Raw genomic sequence first — 19,156 nt, forward strand, 5'->3', positions numbered from 1 at the left:
ACAAATAAATCTGCTTATACATATAAACCACTCAAATCAGTATTTACAACTGACGTGCACCCAATAAATGATAAATTTCTTTTCACAACTTTTCATCTGCTCTAGGTTTTTAAATTATCCACCATGACTTTAGAATAATTTAAAGAATATATTGATATGTTCCATTTACATACCATTCCTGGAAAAATAGTATTCCTATGAATTTTATAATTAAAATATAAAATATATTCAATGTTAATTCTTGAAATTAATGGGTAAATTAATTTATACATGGATCTTTAGTGTGAACTTAGGCCAGGCTTGAGACATGTAGTACCTCAACATGTTGGACAAGCGTTTCGGGTCTCACTAAGCCTTGAGGAATGGGAAAAAAAGGAAATGGAATGGCTTTCCCCATTCAGAGATAGCACCTCCCCACCATGCTCATAACTCAGACAGCACTGCACTTTAAAGGTAAGGGGAGGGGGCACATACAAGGAACAGGTAAGAAAAATAAGACTTTCCTGCAACTCTACCATTCTTCTTAGAACTTCTCTGACCATGAATATCTTTCTTTCTCTTTCTAGTTCTCTGCCTATCCATCAAGGACAAGCTTATCCCCAAATTTTCCCAAGGTTCCCAGCCCATAGCCTCCTCTTAGTCCCATAATCTTCTGGCACCTGTCTCTCTACCCACTTGTATGGATGTTAATCCCAAGCCATACTCTAACTCTTCTGCTGCTTTCATGTTTTGCCATTATATTTCTTGTGTTTATATTTTGTTTCCTAATTAGATTGTAAGTAACTTGAAGTGCCTGGAAGATGTCTTTTCTTTTAAAATTAGTTGACCAAAGAAAGAAAAGGAAAAGGTAATGCAGAAAAAGAAAGCAAACACTGTAACTCAGAAGAATTTGCCCCAACAACTCAAATATCAGCTTCACTCCAAAGCTACACCCCAAAACTAAGCAGGACTGAAACAGCCAAAGCAAAGCCATAACAAAGCTCAGTAAATATTTAGCTTCTTCTAAACTATTCCAATAGAGTCCTAACTAATCTCTTTGCCTCCAATCTCTCCTGTCCAATCCATTCTCCACACAAGTGATCAAATGATCTTATCTACATTAGGCACCCAATAATTGGTTTGTTAACTGAATTTATTAAACATATATTTTGTGCAAGTAAAAAAAAACAGTTACTTTGGTGATTCAAGCAATTATATCAATGCTATGTTGTGAGTGAAAAGGCACAACTTTGGCAATTTAATCAGCAAGAAACTCAGAAAGCAAAGTTTGGTACAATGTATGCAGGTGGTTTCTAAATTCAAAGGTGACCCTGCAACCATGGCAAAATAAATGTTTTTTATCTACATACAATTTATGACTTGATCACTAATTGTCTTACTGGAAAACTGTTGATGTTGAAAACTGTAATTCAGGAAATATTATACATTACATAGATAGATTCACGCATTCTTTCAAAAAGCAGATATTCAGTGCCTACTACATTCCACACACCAAGACTGATAAAATACAACACAAGCAAAACAAGAAATACTGGGATGTTACAATAACATTGCTTTTTGTTAACCATGACAAAATAAATGCTTATGGGTGAAATCATACCTTTTGAATCAGTCAGGGTCCAAGCAGGAAGCAAACAGCATATTCACATTAGAAAACTGTGAGAAAAGTTGAATGTCCCTTTTACAAGCTGAGTAGAAGGAAACTTCAGGCCAGTGCAGGGTACCAGTGTGAAAGGAGGTTTCTACATAGCCCTTAGGCCTGAAGGAGCAATGGGGGACAGGGTAGTTACTGGAACTCACAGACAGGAAGGGTACTTGGATAGAGCAGAACCTCTTGAGACCCCAAAAGAATGAAGCCTGAGGAATGCATATCCCCCACTCTCTGCACTCCCTTCTCTGCCTGCTTGGAAGTCAGACAGTGAGGAAACTCTATGTATGGTATGTGGTCCATATATTAATATTTTAGCCACTCAGGCTACAGAGCAGCATGGGGAAGAGTGGAGCATAGATCTACATTCCATAGCAACTTAATTCAGCATCCCTTTAGAACTTTCTAAGTAAGCAGTCAGCGTGGGTTGGTTAAACTGCACAAACCTGTAACGAATGAGTGATTTCAAGTACATTTTTAAAACAGTACCATAATTTTCTGCTGAGCTTCCGAAGGCAAGGCATCAGAGAAGCTGTCAACACTAATGCTGTCTATAGAAAATGGAAAATTAACAAAGCAAGAAGAAATGATCAATTTGAACTTGGTTTGGCTGTGTAAAACTTCTAATTTCAGTCATATATATTAGTTGCTTACCATTTATGCCTAATTACCATGTAGCACAATAATGTGTATCATTAAACATGTGCCAAATTAACTTTACAATATTAACTTTACAATGTTAACTTAGCATTATTAGCTTAGTTCAAGTTTGGACAGTTTTTGTAGGTTTTGACTCAGGTACATGCTTCTCCCTCTTTTAACTCAAAGAAAATATTTGCTTCAATGATATTCTGCCTAATCATATACTCTCCAAAGACCTAGGAAATGAAAAAAAAATCTGTGCAGATTCTTCAGACTTAATATATGAATTAATTTAGTAGTGCTTAGAGCCAAACCATAACCAAGGATTGGGTTATCAACGAATTCCAGCCATGATATAAAGCAGGAAAAAAACTCATGCCAGACCCTTTATAGCTCTTAAGTCATAGGACTCAGTATGCAGTGAACTGCCACCAGGAGGATCAGATGGGCGAGAAGTGTGCTATCTTTAGCAAATGTATCCTGATAACTAAGACCACATTCCATTTTTGCACTTGAACTAATTCTTGATTGTAGTGTAAAGCTTGAGACAAGCTGACCTACCTACCATCAAATCACTAATGATTAGGGTCATCGGGATATGTTGTTCATACTACATATTTGAATTTCCAGTCGTGATAACTAGATCTTATTACTGAGTTTATGCATTCATTCTAAGAACTGATCAAGAAATTTCTGTTTTGCCTTGATAAATGAACAGCATATATAACCCACAAATTCTAGATCCTTTAAATTGCTAGACAGAGGATGCCTGAAATATATTACAAGTTGGTCTAAAAAGCCTCAGTTTAAATGTATCAGAAAAACCATAATAATTCAGCAGTGGGCCTAATACTATAATTAAATTTGACTCATGGTACTACGGGGTATGCATTTTAAAGGATTAATTTACTTAAAACACATGTTCTCTTTGATTTCAGAAAATAGTTGAGTTACTTTATTTCACTTCTTGATAAGGATTTATATTCAGAAATGTAAAAGTATAATCATATTCTGGAAGATCAGCCCTATTTTATGGCCTTACAAAATATCCTGCACTTCAGGGATTCCACTGGAGATTCTTCCTTGAGGATTCATCTTCTAGGGTCACAGGGCCCCTCTCAGTTACTGACCCATCATTGTGGGCCTTCACTGGTGACAAGAAGGGAGAATGGTGGTATTAAGTCCCAGTAGGCACCAAAGAGAAAGCAATATGCTGATGTGGAGAAAGGCCAATTGTTTGCATTTTCACTTCAACCTTGCGTGCTGATGTGTTATCTGACCTTTAGTCAGTTTGCCAATGTTGTACAAAAACGACTGCTAGATTAATCACTGAAATGTTAACAGGCATTAATTGAACATACACGGTACACAATCATGGAATTACAACACCTTGGGGGTATTTTTATGGATGAAGAACATCTATATATTCACATTAAAATAATAAGTATAGCTACCCTATATTCCTTGCCTATGTTCTAACAGATACTTAAATCCATGAGGTTATTTAATTCTTTGAACAACCATGTGAGGTAAACAGTATACCCAGTGCATGGACGAAGCAAGGAGATGAATGGGCATAGCATACGTAGGAAGGGGAGGCTGGACTTAAGATCAAGTCTAATTCCAAACTTCATACCCTTTTCATTATTTTGTAAGCCTTAGCAGTGCCTTCCAGTTATGGTTGTTTTGTTTCTCCATGGAGATGTCTCTCATTACCTTGTACACATAAACCCACAGCTTATCCCTGACTCTTCTCCTGCCCTCTTTTCCTTGTGAAATGTCTGACTCAGAGTAATCTTCCTGAAACAGCAAGAAACTGCAATCAGCAAAGCAGAAGTGCTATTGTGCACTGGGCTTGGGACAAAGACCTATGGTCTGTGGTCAGCAGATTACAGCAGGGAAAAATCACATTTGGGGGGTTAGACGTGATGATTAATATGTGTTCTTTTGTCAGAGATCAGTTTTAAGAAATGTCAGAATGTCGGATTATCCAGGTTTTCCATGAAGTCTGCCGTCAAAAAAATTATTATTATTTTTGTCTCAGTGTTTAAAATAATCCATGCAAGGGCTCTGTAAGGCTTCCTTTTGGGAGGACTGTCAGGAGTTAACAATTACAGATTTCTCCTTTCCAAGGCTCACTCTGGCACCTGTGCCTTAGATCCCATCACTTCCAATTCCTCAAGAATCTTGTTCCTACATGTTTTACCTTCATCTCTGGAATCTTCAGTTTCTTTTTCATTCCTCTTTTACTTTTTTTATGCTTTCAAACTTCACCAAAAAGCTTTAGTTTACTTGTCTGTCCCCTCTAGCTACTGTCTTACTTCTCTCATTTTCATTTCTGAGCTGCTTAAACAAGTGGTCTAAGCTCACTGCCATCCTCTCTGTTTCACATAGCTTCCCTTCAGCCTCTGACATTCTGGCTGTCACCCTACTACACTTCCACGGATGGTCAGTGGCTTTCTCTTTGCCAAGGACCTTGGACTTCTCTCAGTTGCCAGTTTTGATATCTGTGTGTCATGTTATTTTAACTGCACACTCCTTGAAACACTGGCTTCATTATTGGTAACTTTTTGTCTCTTCTTACAACTTTCAGTAGCTTCCCTTCCTTTTTTCCCCCTCTTTAAATTTTTATTTTAGGGATTCTCTTGAGGGGTGGTTTAATGTGTTTAATTTTTTAACAGATTTATTGAGAAGTAGTTAACATATAATAAATCGAATGTACTTAAAGTATACAATTTGGTGTTTTGATATATTTACACACCCATGAAACCATGACTACAGTCAAGATAGGGAACATATCCATCACCCCCAAAGGTTTCCTCATGACTCCTTGTAATCACTCTCTCCTCCCTCTCCCCAATCCCCTGCTTTCATCCCTAAGCAATCATTAATCTGGTTTGTCACTATAGATTAGTTTTCATTTTCTAGAAGTTTTGTAAATGAAGTGACACAGTATTCACTCTTCTTTGGTCTCGGTTTTTTCACTCAGCATAATAATTTGGGGATTCATCATGCTATTTCCTGTATCAATAGTTTCTTCCTTTTATTGCTGAATTTGAATTCATTATATCCTATACAATTTGTCCAGGCTTTCAATTCTGTCTACCTCTTAATGGAAATTTATGTTATTTCCAGTTTAGGGTTATTGCATATAAAGTTTCTATGAACATTTGTGTGCAAATTTTCTATTGAACAAATGCTTTCATTTCTATTGGGTGGAATGCATAGATCATATGGTAGTATATCTTTTAAAAAATTGACAAACATTTCCAAAGTGGTGTACATTTTACATTCCCACCAGCAAATGTATGAGAGTTTCAGTTTCTTCATATCCTTACTAATGCTTTGTATGGTCAGTATTTTAAGTTTAGCCATTCTAATATATGTGTAGTGATATCTCACTGTGGTTTTAATTTGTATTTCTCTAATAACTCGTGATGTTGACCATCTTTTCATGTGTTAATTTGTCATGTATATTACTTCCCTGGCAAAGTGTCTTCAAAGTTTTTGCCAGTTTTTTTTTAATTGGATTATTTGTTTTCTTACACTGAGTTTGAAAGTACTTTATTTATTCTGGAGGCAAGTCCCTTTATCAGAAATATGATTTTCAAATATTTTTCTTCCAGTTTTTGACTTTCTTCTTAACAATATCTTTCAGAAAAATGTTTTTAATTTTGATGAAATCTTACTTATTTTCTTCTTTGATCATGTTCTTGGTGTTATATCTAAGAAATTTCTACCTAATTCAAGAGTAAAAAATTATGTTTCCTTTTAGAAATTTTAGTTTTAGGTTTTGTAGTTAGGTCTGTGAACCATTAATAGTTAATTTTTATACATGGTATGAGATATGAATCAGCATTCATTTTATGACATATGTATATCCAATTATTCCAGCATCCTTTGTTGAAAAGACTGTCCTTTCTCCATTGAATTGCCCTTGCAACTCTGTCAAAAATCAGTTGCAATATAGGTGTAATATAGGTGATATTACACCGATATCATGCTGTCTTCATGACTGTAGCTTTCCAATAAGTCTTGAAATTAAGCTGTGGTAGCCCTCCAACTTTCCTTTCCTTTCCCTTCCTTTATAAATCCCCCAACTGTGGTTATTACTGTAGGTACTATTGTTGACTTGAGCTTTTCTCTATAAACATGACTGGCCTTAGTGAACTCTGGAAACTCCTACAATTTTCATAAACAATTTTATGATAAAGGCTGTAAAAAAAAAAAAAAAGCAGAACTGCTAGCCCCAGCTTCTCCTTTGAGTTCCAGGCCTGTGGCTCCACTAATTTACAGACAGCTATCAGAAATCTCATTTCTTCAACCCCTGAACTTTTATATAATTCTCTTCTGACACTTCCCATCAACTTTCCCTCCTAACTTCATGATGTCAGCCCCACCACCGTTTTTCTGTCGCCCAGACTTGAAACCTCATCTTTGATTTAGCTCTTTCTTTCTTTTTCTGATCCAATACATCACTATATCCTGGCCTTTTATTTTTCATTCAAAACATGTTTCATGTATGTTTTCTCCATTCTCCCATTGTCACTGTTACTAAATTCGTACTACCATTTTCTCATGTGTGAATGGCTGACTGAAAGCCCAATTGGCCTTCCTACTTCCAGACACTTCCTGACTTTCCTTTCCCAGACCCAAGGCAATCCTTAGATTTATCTTCCTAAAGCAAATTATGCTCAAGTCAGCCCGAAAGTTTTCCATTCTAGTTAGGTTTACTCCTCCCTCCCTCTTTGTAATTTGCTCTAGTCTGTGATTTTTTCTTTCACTCTCATTTGCACATTAATCTGACTAGTTTTAACATTTTCTAAGTAGAAGAGAATTTTAAATAACATTTATTTAAAGCCTTTTTAGAAAGGCTATAAAATCTATGTACTATCATATAATTTGTTTCCCAATCCCACTGCTGTAATTTAAACTGTACTTTCCACATTTTCACTGAACTTGAAAGATACTCCATCATTTGACACTGAATAATTTTATTTATTTAAACCTAACCCTTGCTTTATAGTCATATAAGGATCTACTATAGGTTAAAGACAAACCTAACAAACCAAACAAACAGTACCTAAATACCTAACCAAGACAAGATCCAGTGAAAATGAATTCCCTCCATGTCTCTAACACAAGTAGACCAGTTTTAATAGTGTCCTATAAAAATGGGGACAAATTCCTGTGACCATAGGCAACTAAGAATTTTCAGAAATGACAGATTATTAGAAATCCCCCTCCTTCAACTACAAGTGCAACAAGTTCAATTACCCCTGTGAGTTCCCAGCCCTAACAGAGTCACGGGAAAGATGCATTTATCACAAACGAAACAAGCTTTAAAGATTTACTTGCCTATGATCTTTTGGAGAAAAGATAAGAAATGAAACATCATATTTGCTTTTAAATATAAATCTCCTTTAAGGAAAGTAATATTTGAAGATCAATTGTTTTGATAATAAAATAAACTTTAGAACCTTGTTTATGGACACTGGGTGACATAAAACTAAGAAATGTATGTTCTGCTTTTTGAGAATGTAGTATCCTTAAAATGGAATCATTAATATTATGAGAATGTCAATGTTAACGGTAAAATATTACACAGTTCATTATTCTGGCAAAGAACTCATTTCTTTAAAGGCAGGTATTTATTTTTCACCCATTAGTATCTAAGGAAATCCCTCATACACAGTTAAGCATGTCATATGTATTTATAAATTAAATTCAGTGACACTATTTTCCCAATATTGATAATATTTTGACAGTTAAGCAATTGGTCTCTAAGGGTCAATTAGAAATCTAATTTGCAAGAAGAAAATGAAAAATGAAAAGAAGCCGTATAATTCTGGATTCGATCTTTTTTAGGCTAAGAAAATAAAATGGAAGACCCGAATCAAAACAGGGTATCTATCAGATCATTTTCTGATGTGTAATGTAGACTTAGTTTTAAATGCTAAAAAGTAAAAGTTACACCTTATATTAGTAGAATGGTTTTCTTACAAGAAGCTCAAACTCTTTTGAAAAGACTCCCATATTTTCAAGGACATGCAGGTTCAAGTGCAAGAGTGTTTGTGGGATAAAGGTGTCATAAACCAGATCGTGGTGTTTACAACACCAGCAAGCACCCTGTGTAATCTCACACCATTCAACTTAATAGCTGCTTCAAAATATAGGACAATAGAGTTTCCTAGGATTCTCACATACAGAAGGAACCTAGCTTATTTTTCTTTTTCCCACTTCATGTATAAGGAACAAGGGTCAAGGAAGGCTAACCTCACACAGCAAGCTAGTCCAAACATAGCAGTTACATTGCCTGACTGCTCAAGGTCTATATTGCATTAACTTTCACCTGCTCAGGAAAGACAAGTGCAATACTTTGTTTGGATGAAAGCAAAAAAATTCGGGTATCCAAACCAAACAGCTTAGGTGAGAAGATGATTCAGCTTATTCAGATCTAGGCAAACAAATGAGAAAAAATAAAAGGAGGGGAAAAAAAAAAACCCTTACAAAACCTACCATTCCTCAGAAAACCTAATCCCACAACCAAAAAAAAAAAACATAACATTTTTAATTTTTAGGAAAAGATATATGTGGCAGTATAGCGTAGAAAGAGTAAAAGTTGGAAAAGAGAGATTTAGAAATATACCGAGTTACATGTAATGCACACAATGTGATTTCTGATAATTTTGGAAAGATATTTTGAATTGACTTTAAAGGGAATGGAGAGGGATGTGAGAGAGTGAACTTGTTCATTTAAGCATGTTTTTCCCCCAGTCCTTACTGCTCATCTGAAAACAAGAAGTAGAGCAGGTCAGGAAAGGGGTTATGGTTAACACTGCAAGATGAAAGATAAGCAGCCAGGCAGTTAGAAGCCAAGGCATTTTATCTAGAAGAGCAGGTCTGGCCTTGTTTCTATCTTGATAAGAATTAGATTGGAGAGCTTGTTTGTCTATAGACTAGGATGGGGTGGAGGGGTGTCGGGGCTGAAGGAAGGGGACAGGGAAGTCAGGGGCTGAGTTATGGAGTAGTGGCAAACCACTAATGTAGTGATAATTCCCTCTTCTATGTTCTATGTCTACCTGAACTTTGAAATTGCTAGACTTGTCTATTTAGATAACATGGCTGTGTTTCTTTCAAATATGGAGACTTAAATATCTAGAAAGTTTAGGTGACCTGAACAGGCTAATTGCCTAAGTCTAAAATTTCAGGACAATAGCTAACTGGATGGGCTATTAACAGAGAACTTGAAAGAAATGACATTTTAATTTAAGCAGCTCTTTAAATGGTGTGTTTATCTTTATTCTGAAGCATATGCACGATATACTCTGACTTGCTTTTTAAAGTTGTGTTTTCATTTCAAGTTTTTAAAAATACATTACAATTATAGCAGCTTCCACTTTCTTACTGCTCTGATTTGATGATACAACTGATTTAGAATTATGTTTTACAATATAATTATTAAAATTTGTAAAGTCCTAAGTTCACCAAAATTTGTTCTGATTATGGCCATGACTGTAAAAACAGCAGGTTTCCCTGGGATTTTATTTGCTTTTACCCTTAGAATTTTAGTCCATAATAGAACCAAGAAATCAGAATTTCAAAATGAAACGGGTTATCTTTTTAAAAAAATAAGCCTATAAAATTATTTGTAGCTATTTGAAATGATTCTTAATCATGGTAGGTTTATGTTGCTCATGACCTTAGTTGTTCAAGTAGAGTTTGTTGAATACACAAGATGATTAGCAGAGGAGGAAGCATTATAGGATTAATATAGTTCATAAACCTTTAGGGGTTTATAGCCTCTATGAGAAATAAACCAGGGCATTTTTAGCCCAAATGATTAGATACCAAAACAAATTTGTAAAAATAACAGGTGGGAAGAAAGCATCTTGAAACAATATATTTTTTCTTATTATCTTGGCCACTGTATAGATTGTCTGGTACCTTGAGTCTTATCTTCTCTGTGGTCCTGAGGCAGTCCCTATATATAATTAGCTCTGGACCTGGCCTGACCTCCAGGAGCAATGTCTAGAATGTGTTCATTACAGTGCCTGGCACATAGGAAGAGTGAATTGAGTGTTTGTTAAATGAATACAGATAAGAATAATCAAAATGCTCATTGGTGAGATTGATTAAAATAAATTATATATCCATGCACTGGGATACTATGCAACTGTGAAAATTATGTAGTTAACTATTTAATAACATGGAAAGACAATGACAGATTATTAATTAGAAAAAAGTTATAAATCATATGAGTAGAATGATTCCATATGTGAATAAACAATATGTACCTATGTATTAGATATGTATGATAATTTTTAGAAAGATACATACCAATATGCTTATATGTAAATGGTTGGATTATGAGGGGATTTTTTTTCTTTTTTTTTTTTTTTTTGAGACAGACTCTCACTCTATTGCCCAGTCTGGAGTGCAGTGGCATGATCTAGGCTCATTGCAACCTCCGCCTCCTGGGTTCAAGTGATTCTCCTCAGCCTCAGCCTCCTGAGTAGCTGGGATTACAGGCCCCCGCCACCATGCCCGGCTAATTTCTGTATTTTTAGTTGAGATGGGTTTTTGCCATGTTGGCCAGGCTGGTCTCAAACTCCTGACCTCAAGTGATCCACTCACCTCAGCCTCCTGAAGTGCTGGGATTACAGGCATGAGCCACCACAGCCAGCTGGATTATGAGTTTTTTTTAAATTTTACTTTAAAACTTTCACACATTTAAAAAATATATATATATACACATACACACACACACACACACACACACACACACACACACACATATATATAGAAAAGATTGTTTTTATGATAATTTTTTTTAACATCCTAAAGGTGAGGATATAGAAATAGCAAGTGATAATTATTCTTTGGTAAAACTTGTCTGTGAAAGGAAATGGACTGAAAGCATAGAAGCTACAGCTCATTTATAACCAATCGAGAAGCAGGACATGTCAAATGCTGTACAGAGTCCTGCTACCTGGGAAGCTTCTGATAAACGAGGGTTGCTATTATTATTATTGTCATTAAAATGTCTTCAGTTCTCATAGACTTTCAGCACCAGCACACTGTCCAGGAGCACTGTCCAGAATGTTCTCAAGAAGAATTCTCTTTCTAGAACGCTCTCCTTTTTTAAAGTTTCTTCTCTTATTTCCCGCTCCTTGGCTACTCAGTAGAGTTGTGCTGGTGCTGAAAGTCTACGAGACCTGAAGGCATTTTAGTGGTAATAATAATAATAATAGCAACCCCCGTTTATTAGAAGCCTCCCAGGTAGCAGGACTCTGCACAGCATTTTACACAGTGTGCTACTCCATTGGTTATAAATATGCTGTAGCTCCTATGCTTTCAGTCCACTTTCTTCCACAGAAAAGTTTTGCCAAAGAATAATTATCACTTGCTATTCAATATCCTGACCTCCAGGATGTTAAAAAATGTTTATCATAAAAATAATCTTTTCTATGTAATTTTTAAATGTGTAAAAATTTAAAATTAAAAAACTCATAATCCAACCGTCTATACATATAAGCATCTTGGTACAACTCTTTCTAAAAATCATCATACATATCTAACACATAGGTACATATTGTTTATTCACATATGGAATCATTCTACTCATATGATTTATAACTTTTTTCTAATTAATAGTCCATTGGTATCTTTCCATATTGTTAAATAGTTAACTACATAATTTTTCACAGTTGCATTATATCCCAGTGCATGGATATGTAATTTATTTTAATCAACCTCACCATTGAGCATTTTGATTACTTTTATCTCTATTCATTTAACAAAGAATTCACTCTTACTAGGTTCTAGGCACTGTAATGAACACTTTATGGTATTTACACATTTAATTACTGTAAAAACCAATCAGGACAAATAAGTATTGTAGGCTAACAGATTGCACAACAAATGCTGGTGGGGATGTGCAGAAAAGGAAGCTCTTGAACACTGTTGGTCGGAATGTCAATTAGTACAGCCATTATGAAGAATAGTATGGAGGTTCCTTAAGAAAACTAAAAATAGAACTGCCATACAATCCAGAAACTCCACTACTGGGTATTCTCCAAAAGAAAGGAAATCAGTATATCAGAGAAATAGCTGCACCTCCATGTTTATTGTGGCACTATTCACAATAGCCAATATATGGCACCAAACTTAGTGTCTATCAATAGATGAATGAATAAACAAAATATGTTTTATATAGACACAATGAAATACTATTTGGCTGTAAAAATGTCATATCATTTGAAGCAACATGGATGGTACTGGAAGTCATTATGTTAAGTGAAATAAGCCAGGCACAGAAAGACAAATATTGCATGTTTTCACTCATATGTGGGAGCTAAGAAGGTTTATCTCAGGGAGGTAGAGAGTAGATTCATAGTTCCTAGAGGCTGGGAACAACTGAGTGGGGGATGAAGAGAGGTTGGTTAATGGGTACAAAGATACAGTTAGATAGAAGCATTAAGTTCTAGTGTTTGATAGCACAATAGGCTATATATAATTAACAATAATTTATTGTATATTTCAAAATAGCTAGAAGAGAAGATTTGGAATGTTCCAAACACAAAGAAATAATTAGCGTTTGAGGTGATGGCTACCCCAATTGCCCTGATTTTTTATTATGTAACAATAAAAAACCAACCAGGCTGCAACAACCTTATTAATAGTAGTAATCCTCTTACTGTCCCTATTTTACAGATAAAGGAACTAAGGCACAGAAAAGTAACTTGCCCAAGTTCACAGAGCTAATAAGTAGCAGAACTGAGGTTTCAACTCAGGCTGGCTCTAGAGTAGGTGCCCTTAACTACTGTGATATGGTTGCTATCAGAAACAATGCTGCAATGAATGTCTTAATTTCTTATTGTTTCCTTAGAAAAACACTTAGAATGAAAATGCACCTTAGATTGACAGACCTTAGATGATACTGTGCATTATTAAAATTAAATCTCACACTGTTTCAACTTGTATTTCTCACTCACAATTCTCTGAATCTACTGAAATTTTTTCAGTCTTCATCTTTCATGACCACTCCATAGCATGGGATGACTGATCACTCCTTTCTCTTGCTGTTCTTTACTGCTTCAGTGTGATATCGCCCTTGGCTACTTCCCTCTAACTTGTATTAACATTCCTCCCCTGACTCCCTCGCTGATACTTCCCTCTGACCTCCTTTTACATTTTGGTGTTTCTTCGCTCTCCACTTTATCCTCGCCTCATGTTGCAATCTCCCTGGGAAATCTCATCCATTCCCATGACTTTCACCACAATTTAAATGCTAATGCCTCATAAATCTTTATCCCCTTCCAGACATCTCCGTTAACTCTAGACTTATATATGTAACTGTCTATTAGACGTCTTCACCAGGGATATTCTCCAGGCTTTCAAAAACCGAATATGTTTAAAATTGAACTGGCCACTTTTCTCCTACACCTGATCTTCATCTGGATTTATCATCTGAATTTGATTTTACCATCATACAGCCAGACACCTAATAAGAGAGTCATTTTAGATTTGAGTAATGATGATAACAAAGGTTTTGAATCTAACAACCCTGGGTTTGAACCCAAGGTATGCCACTTAAAATCTGGATGGCCTTGAGAAAGTTGCTCAAACTCTCTAAACTTTATTTTTGTTATCTATAAAATCAGAATAAAAATACCTACTTTGCAACACTGTTGGGAAATTGAAATGGGATGATGTATGTTATACTGTGTATGTTCTTTTGGGAGTGCTTGACATATTAAAAGCATTCAATAAAGAGTATTGCTATTTTGGCAGTGATGTTTCACCTCTCACATCCAATCAGCTTCTGAGTCCTATTGTTTCTAACTCTGTAACCTCACTCCAATAATCTTTCTCTCTTTACTTTCCCTGCTGATAATGCCTAATTAAGATCTTGTCATCTCTGCTTTAAGGGTTGCAATTTTCTCTAATTCAGTGGTTCTCAACCTCTTTTTTATTCCTGATGTCAACATACAGAATGGATGAAGTTCACATGCATGATGCTCCGTCAGGCATACTCCATGTTAAGTACAATTCTAGAAGTTTAGGCTATAACTCCACCCCCTTGTTTCTCATTCCAATAGGAAATATACTAAAATATACTGGGGAAAAAAGTAAGAGTAGAATTAGCAAAGAGGGAAACTTGAATCCACTCCAGTTTTTTTGTCTTGTGCAAATGTGAGTACTGCATTTCTAGTAGCAAACTGCTTGCAGCATACCTGTGTGCCAGTATACCATGGGTGAGCGAGCTTTGCCTTAGCTAACTTCCTTTACTAACCCTCTCACCCCACACTAATTCCATTCCCTACACTATTGTCATAGTAAGTGGTTTCTATTATATAGACTTTACCCTGTGCCCTGAATTTTCTATGAGACAAAATACAACTCCCATTAGCTTGGCGTTCAAGATCTTTTAGACCTATCCTTTTCAGCTTTTTCAGGCTTTCCTTTTTATATACTCCACCAGACATACGTCTCTTGAAACAACAAAATAATGGTATTTTCCACCTCCCATTTCTCCCTTTCCTGTCTCTCCTCACTCCACAAGAGTCTGCCTTAAGCTCCAGACCCTCCCCTGAATGTACCCTCAAATATGGGCACCCACGACCTATATACTCCTAAATCCATTGGGCATTTTTCACTTAGTAGCAATGAACACGTTGAGCACTTCCTTTCCTCCTAATTCTTTGGCTTCTCCTTTATTAATCTCCTTTTCTGGCGATTTTTCTTCTATTTATAGTTCAATATTCTGCCCCCAGGACTCTTTCCTGAGCAGTTTTCTTTTCTTCAATTCTCTTTACGTTCTACAAACTCTCTTTGGGAAATCCACACTACTCTTTACGGTTCCAATTACTATCTATGTGCAAGTGCCAAATAATCCTCTATTTCTAAGCTTACCTCTTTCCTGAACCCTATATATACAATTGCTCATAAGACTTTCCAACTTAAGGGTCTTGTGCATGATATAAACATAGTGTTTTCAGAAGGGAATTCCTCATCCTCCAACCCTCCCTAGTCAACCTCTTTTTCATTAAAGTTGCACACCTGTATAAATGACACCACTCACCCAATTTCTTCAGTGAGAATTGAGGAGATATATTTGACCTCTCCCACTATTTTTGACCCCTACAACTAGTTACCATATCTTGTTGATTATATCTCACAAATATCTCTAAAATTCATCACATAATGACAATCCATTGCAGCCATCTTACCCCAGACTGCCATCATCTCTTACCTAAATTAATTAATCACTTGGCTCCAATGTTGTCCCACATGAACCCATCCTGCTCTAGGCTCATCTATTTTTCTTCAAATCTGATAATTTAACCCCCTAACTTAAAACCCTTCAAGATAAAGTTCAATTATCTTGAACTTTGATTATCACTTTTAAGGCTTTCTAAGATCTAGTTCTGGCCCCCACTACCAGCCCAGATGATGTACCATGTGTACTTTCACACTATATGGTCCAGCTTGTATCTGGACCTCTTGTGTCTCTCTCTTTTTTTTTTTTTTCTTTTTGAGATGGCGTCTTGCTCTGTTGCCCAGGCTGGAGTGCAGTGGCGCAATCTCGGCTCACTGCAAGCTCCGCCTCCCAGGTTCACGCCATTCTCCTGCTTCAGCCTCCCGAGTAGCTGGGGCTACAGGCATGAGCCACGACGCCCGGCTAATTTTTTTGTATTTTTAGTAGAGTCGAGGCTTCACCGTGTTAGCCAGGATGGTCTCGATTTCCTGACCTCGTGATCTGCCCGCCTCGGCCTCCCAAAGTGCTGGGATTACAGCGTGAGCCACCGCGCCTGGCCTCTTGTGTCTCTTTTTGTCTCTGTTTTGCTCACATTGAATGCTCTCTTGTCCCTACCCCTTTTTCTATGCCTGGCTCAATCTATTTCAGAGTTCCTATTCTCTAGGATTGATCGTATACTCCACTGTAGATTTCCAAGGTCTTAATACTTTCCATACCATAACATATATTTCTTTACTAGAAGCCCTCTTATCTCATATGATTGCTAATATTAAAATAGACTCAAATCTAAGAAGCATAAGATATTTACATTTCTTAAACATTTATTTTAATATAATACAGTTATACATTCATTCCCCTATTTTTTAATTTAAGGATATAGCCTTTAATTTGGAAACAGGTCCATTGACTGAAGATCCATACAATCTTTCTTTACTATAGTGTACCATCCATAATTTCTAATTTCACTATCTTTAAACTAAAAAAACACATTTGCAAGCCAATCTAAATATGAACTTTCTGGATTATTAAGTGTTTTTTTTTTCTGAGTCTTTGCTCATTGTATTTCCTCCACCTAATTTCATAGGAAAGTTTTTAGCAATTCTCCTTTATTGAGTCTTTCCAAAAAATTCAAGTTAATTTTCAAAGAAGCAACTCTCTCATTTTATACTCTATTTCATTGAATTATGGAAGCAATGTTATTTTTATTACATGGTTATAATACGAAGTCAACTGGCAATGGTTTGGGAATAAACACAACTAATTCTTGGCAAGCATGCAACGGCACCAATGAGAAAAATGTGTAGGCTTACTGGAGCGTCATCTACTGGCTGTGAGCTTTCACTGAGCCCTGAATATTAATCAGAGTGTTTTGCAAAGGAAATTGATAATATTGGTTAATTTGCCAAGTCAGTTAAATGGAGATCTATTAAGAGCACTTCTCTTAACATAGCTGCCTCTCTTTCACATTGACTATAAGCACTGTGATAACAGAAGAAATACGCATGTCTTAGAAACAACCATCTCTTTTGTATTCATCCCTACTTTCACTACCATGTACTGGGCACACAATAAATATTTGCTGAAGGAATAAAGAAATGAGTGAATGAATATATTAAGAAATATCTAAAATAATTACATCCTTCCTCCACTGTAGCTCAAGTGTCAATGCTTAATACTGCTTGATTTTCCTGAATGATTTCTCTATCCCCCAAAGTAAAATGTGTAATTTCCCTTTTTCCGACTCCAATGTTCCTGCACTTACTGCCAACATACCACTTTAAAATACTCTAACATCTGATTTTTTTATTTCCCATTACATATCTATTACATATCTCTTGAAGACAAGAAATCATTTGTATTTTTATATCTTGTTTTCAATATTTAAATGACACATGCTATTTCCATTCCCAAATTAATTGATAAATACATGAATAAATAAAATAGCTGTGCCATATAGTTATCCTTGATATCACTCTAGATGAGGAAACTGAGGCTGGAAAGATTAAACAGCTTAAGTAATATTAACAAAGCAAATAACTCTTGGGACCTCCTTGCTCTGTGTATGTCAAAGCTCATGCTCTCTTTCAACTCCATTACATCTCTTTGAATCAGATAGTAAGATGAAACCTCTTCTAGGAAGTAAAGACTTCCTGGCCCCAATCAATTCTTTTTACTTGCCACCTGCTTGTGAATATTAATATTGCTTTCGCTGGATTTTAAAAAGTAGACTCCTAGGTAAACAGCAAACAAGAGAGGCAGAGGCCAGAATGCTCAGAAAAAAGGATACAAACTGGCGCAATAAGGATTATATGGTCTGAAGCAGAGGTATGTGGAAGCTGAGGTGGGAAAGTGATGGTAAAGCAAACCAGACCCAAGGATATTGGTTTATCTTATGGCAATACTTAACCCATGGAATGAGAACATTTGTATGAATTATCCATGCCATTGTTTTCCTCCATATAAGATATCATATTTCCCATACGTGGTTTGGAGAGACTTCCTGGAGTAGATCGATTCCAAGTGTATCTTGAATGGTAGGGAAAATATGGCTTAGTGTTTGGAAAAAGGGATCTAATTTGCAGACTTCAAGGCCAGTGAGATTGAAGGAGCTGATTCAAATAAAAAATAGGCATACTTGAAGCAAGAACAAGCCATTGTGATGTTATAGTGAAGAGTAGAGAAACCCCATAGAATCATGAGAAGGACAGAACATCTTTTTGTTAATTATTTTCCTGGACCTCCAACTCCATACCACTGACCATCACATTCATCTTTAGTTTTATCCAAATTAGATTGGCTAATTTTCATCTGAGTTCTTCAGACATCATATCTTGTGCCGAATATCTTAGCTCTCAAATTCCTAACTTCCTATTTTAGAAAATTCAGACCAAAATCAATTCTCTAGTTTTCCAAACACTTGTTACTGATTTTCTTTCCATACACTTAATAATGTAGAGGTTCAACAACTTAGTGCGTTGCATCACATATTAATTGTCTTCTATATCATCTCATTGAAATGCATCCAGGACATACTATTATTCTTCCCACCTCTATTCATTTTTTTTGGTTTTATTTGGCAAGGAAATAAGGCCCTATAGCTACTTTATTCAAAATCATTATCTCTGCAACATAATTTCTTTTGTTTATTTTTCTTATTTTAGTATTTATAAATTCTCTTACTGTTCCACAAGTTCAGTGGGGCAGTGGTCTAACTTTTCCAACTATCAAATCACTTTAACACAAACTTACTTTCTCCTACAACTGAATTGGCTATCTTTACTGAAAAATTATAAATATGAAATCATATAAAAACATAAAAAATAATAATTTAAATGATATTTTATAATTATATATTATAATAATTTATAATATAAATAATTTATATACCTTATTTCAATGTACATATAAATCTTTGTATTTGAATCCCTGGTCCATCACTTGTTAACTCCACAGCTTTAGGCAAGGCCGTTAAACCCTTTGAAGTCTCTTGTTATTCCATCTAGAAAATATGGGTGACAATGGAATTTCCATCATAGCTTTGAAGATGAAATAAGAAAAACATGGAAATTATTATAGTGACTACCACATAACAAGGCAATAAA

The 19,156-nt window shown here is 35.7% G+C and overlaps 1 long non-coding RNA gene across 1 annotated transcript in view, besides 1 other annotated feature; it reads right to left on the minus strand.

Moving 5' to 3' along the window:
- LOC102725082 (uncharacterized) overlaps window positions 1–18,878 on the minus strand; it is a 56,826-nt gene extending 37,948 nt beyond the window's left edge. The window contains exon 1 of the long non-coding RNA XR_007088066.1: window positions 1,601–18,878. This is a non-coding gene — a long non-coding RNA (uncharacterized LOC102725082). The remainder of the gene's footprint in view (window positions 1–1,600) is intronic.
- Window positions 10,199–10,399: a silencer, noted in NCBI's record as "peak4034 fragment used in MPRA reporter construct". NCBI's record gives its function as "represses an SCP1 promoter by STARR-seq MPRAs in K562 erythroleukemia cells {active_cell/tissue: K562}" and the evidence as "EXISTENCE:reporter gene assay evidence [ECO:0000049][PMID:32103011]".
- Window positions 18,879–19,156: the final 278 nt, after the last annotated feature.

This window comes from Homo sapiens, chromosome 2 (genome assembly GCF_000001405.40).
Source record: "Homo sapiens chromosome 2, GRCh38.p14 Primary Assembly".
Classification (NCBI taxonomy): Eukaryota; Metazoa; Chordata; class Mammalia; order Primates; family Hominidae; genus Homo; species Homo sapiens.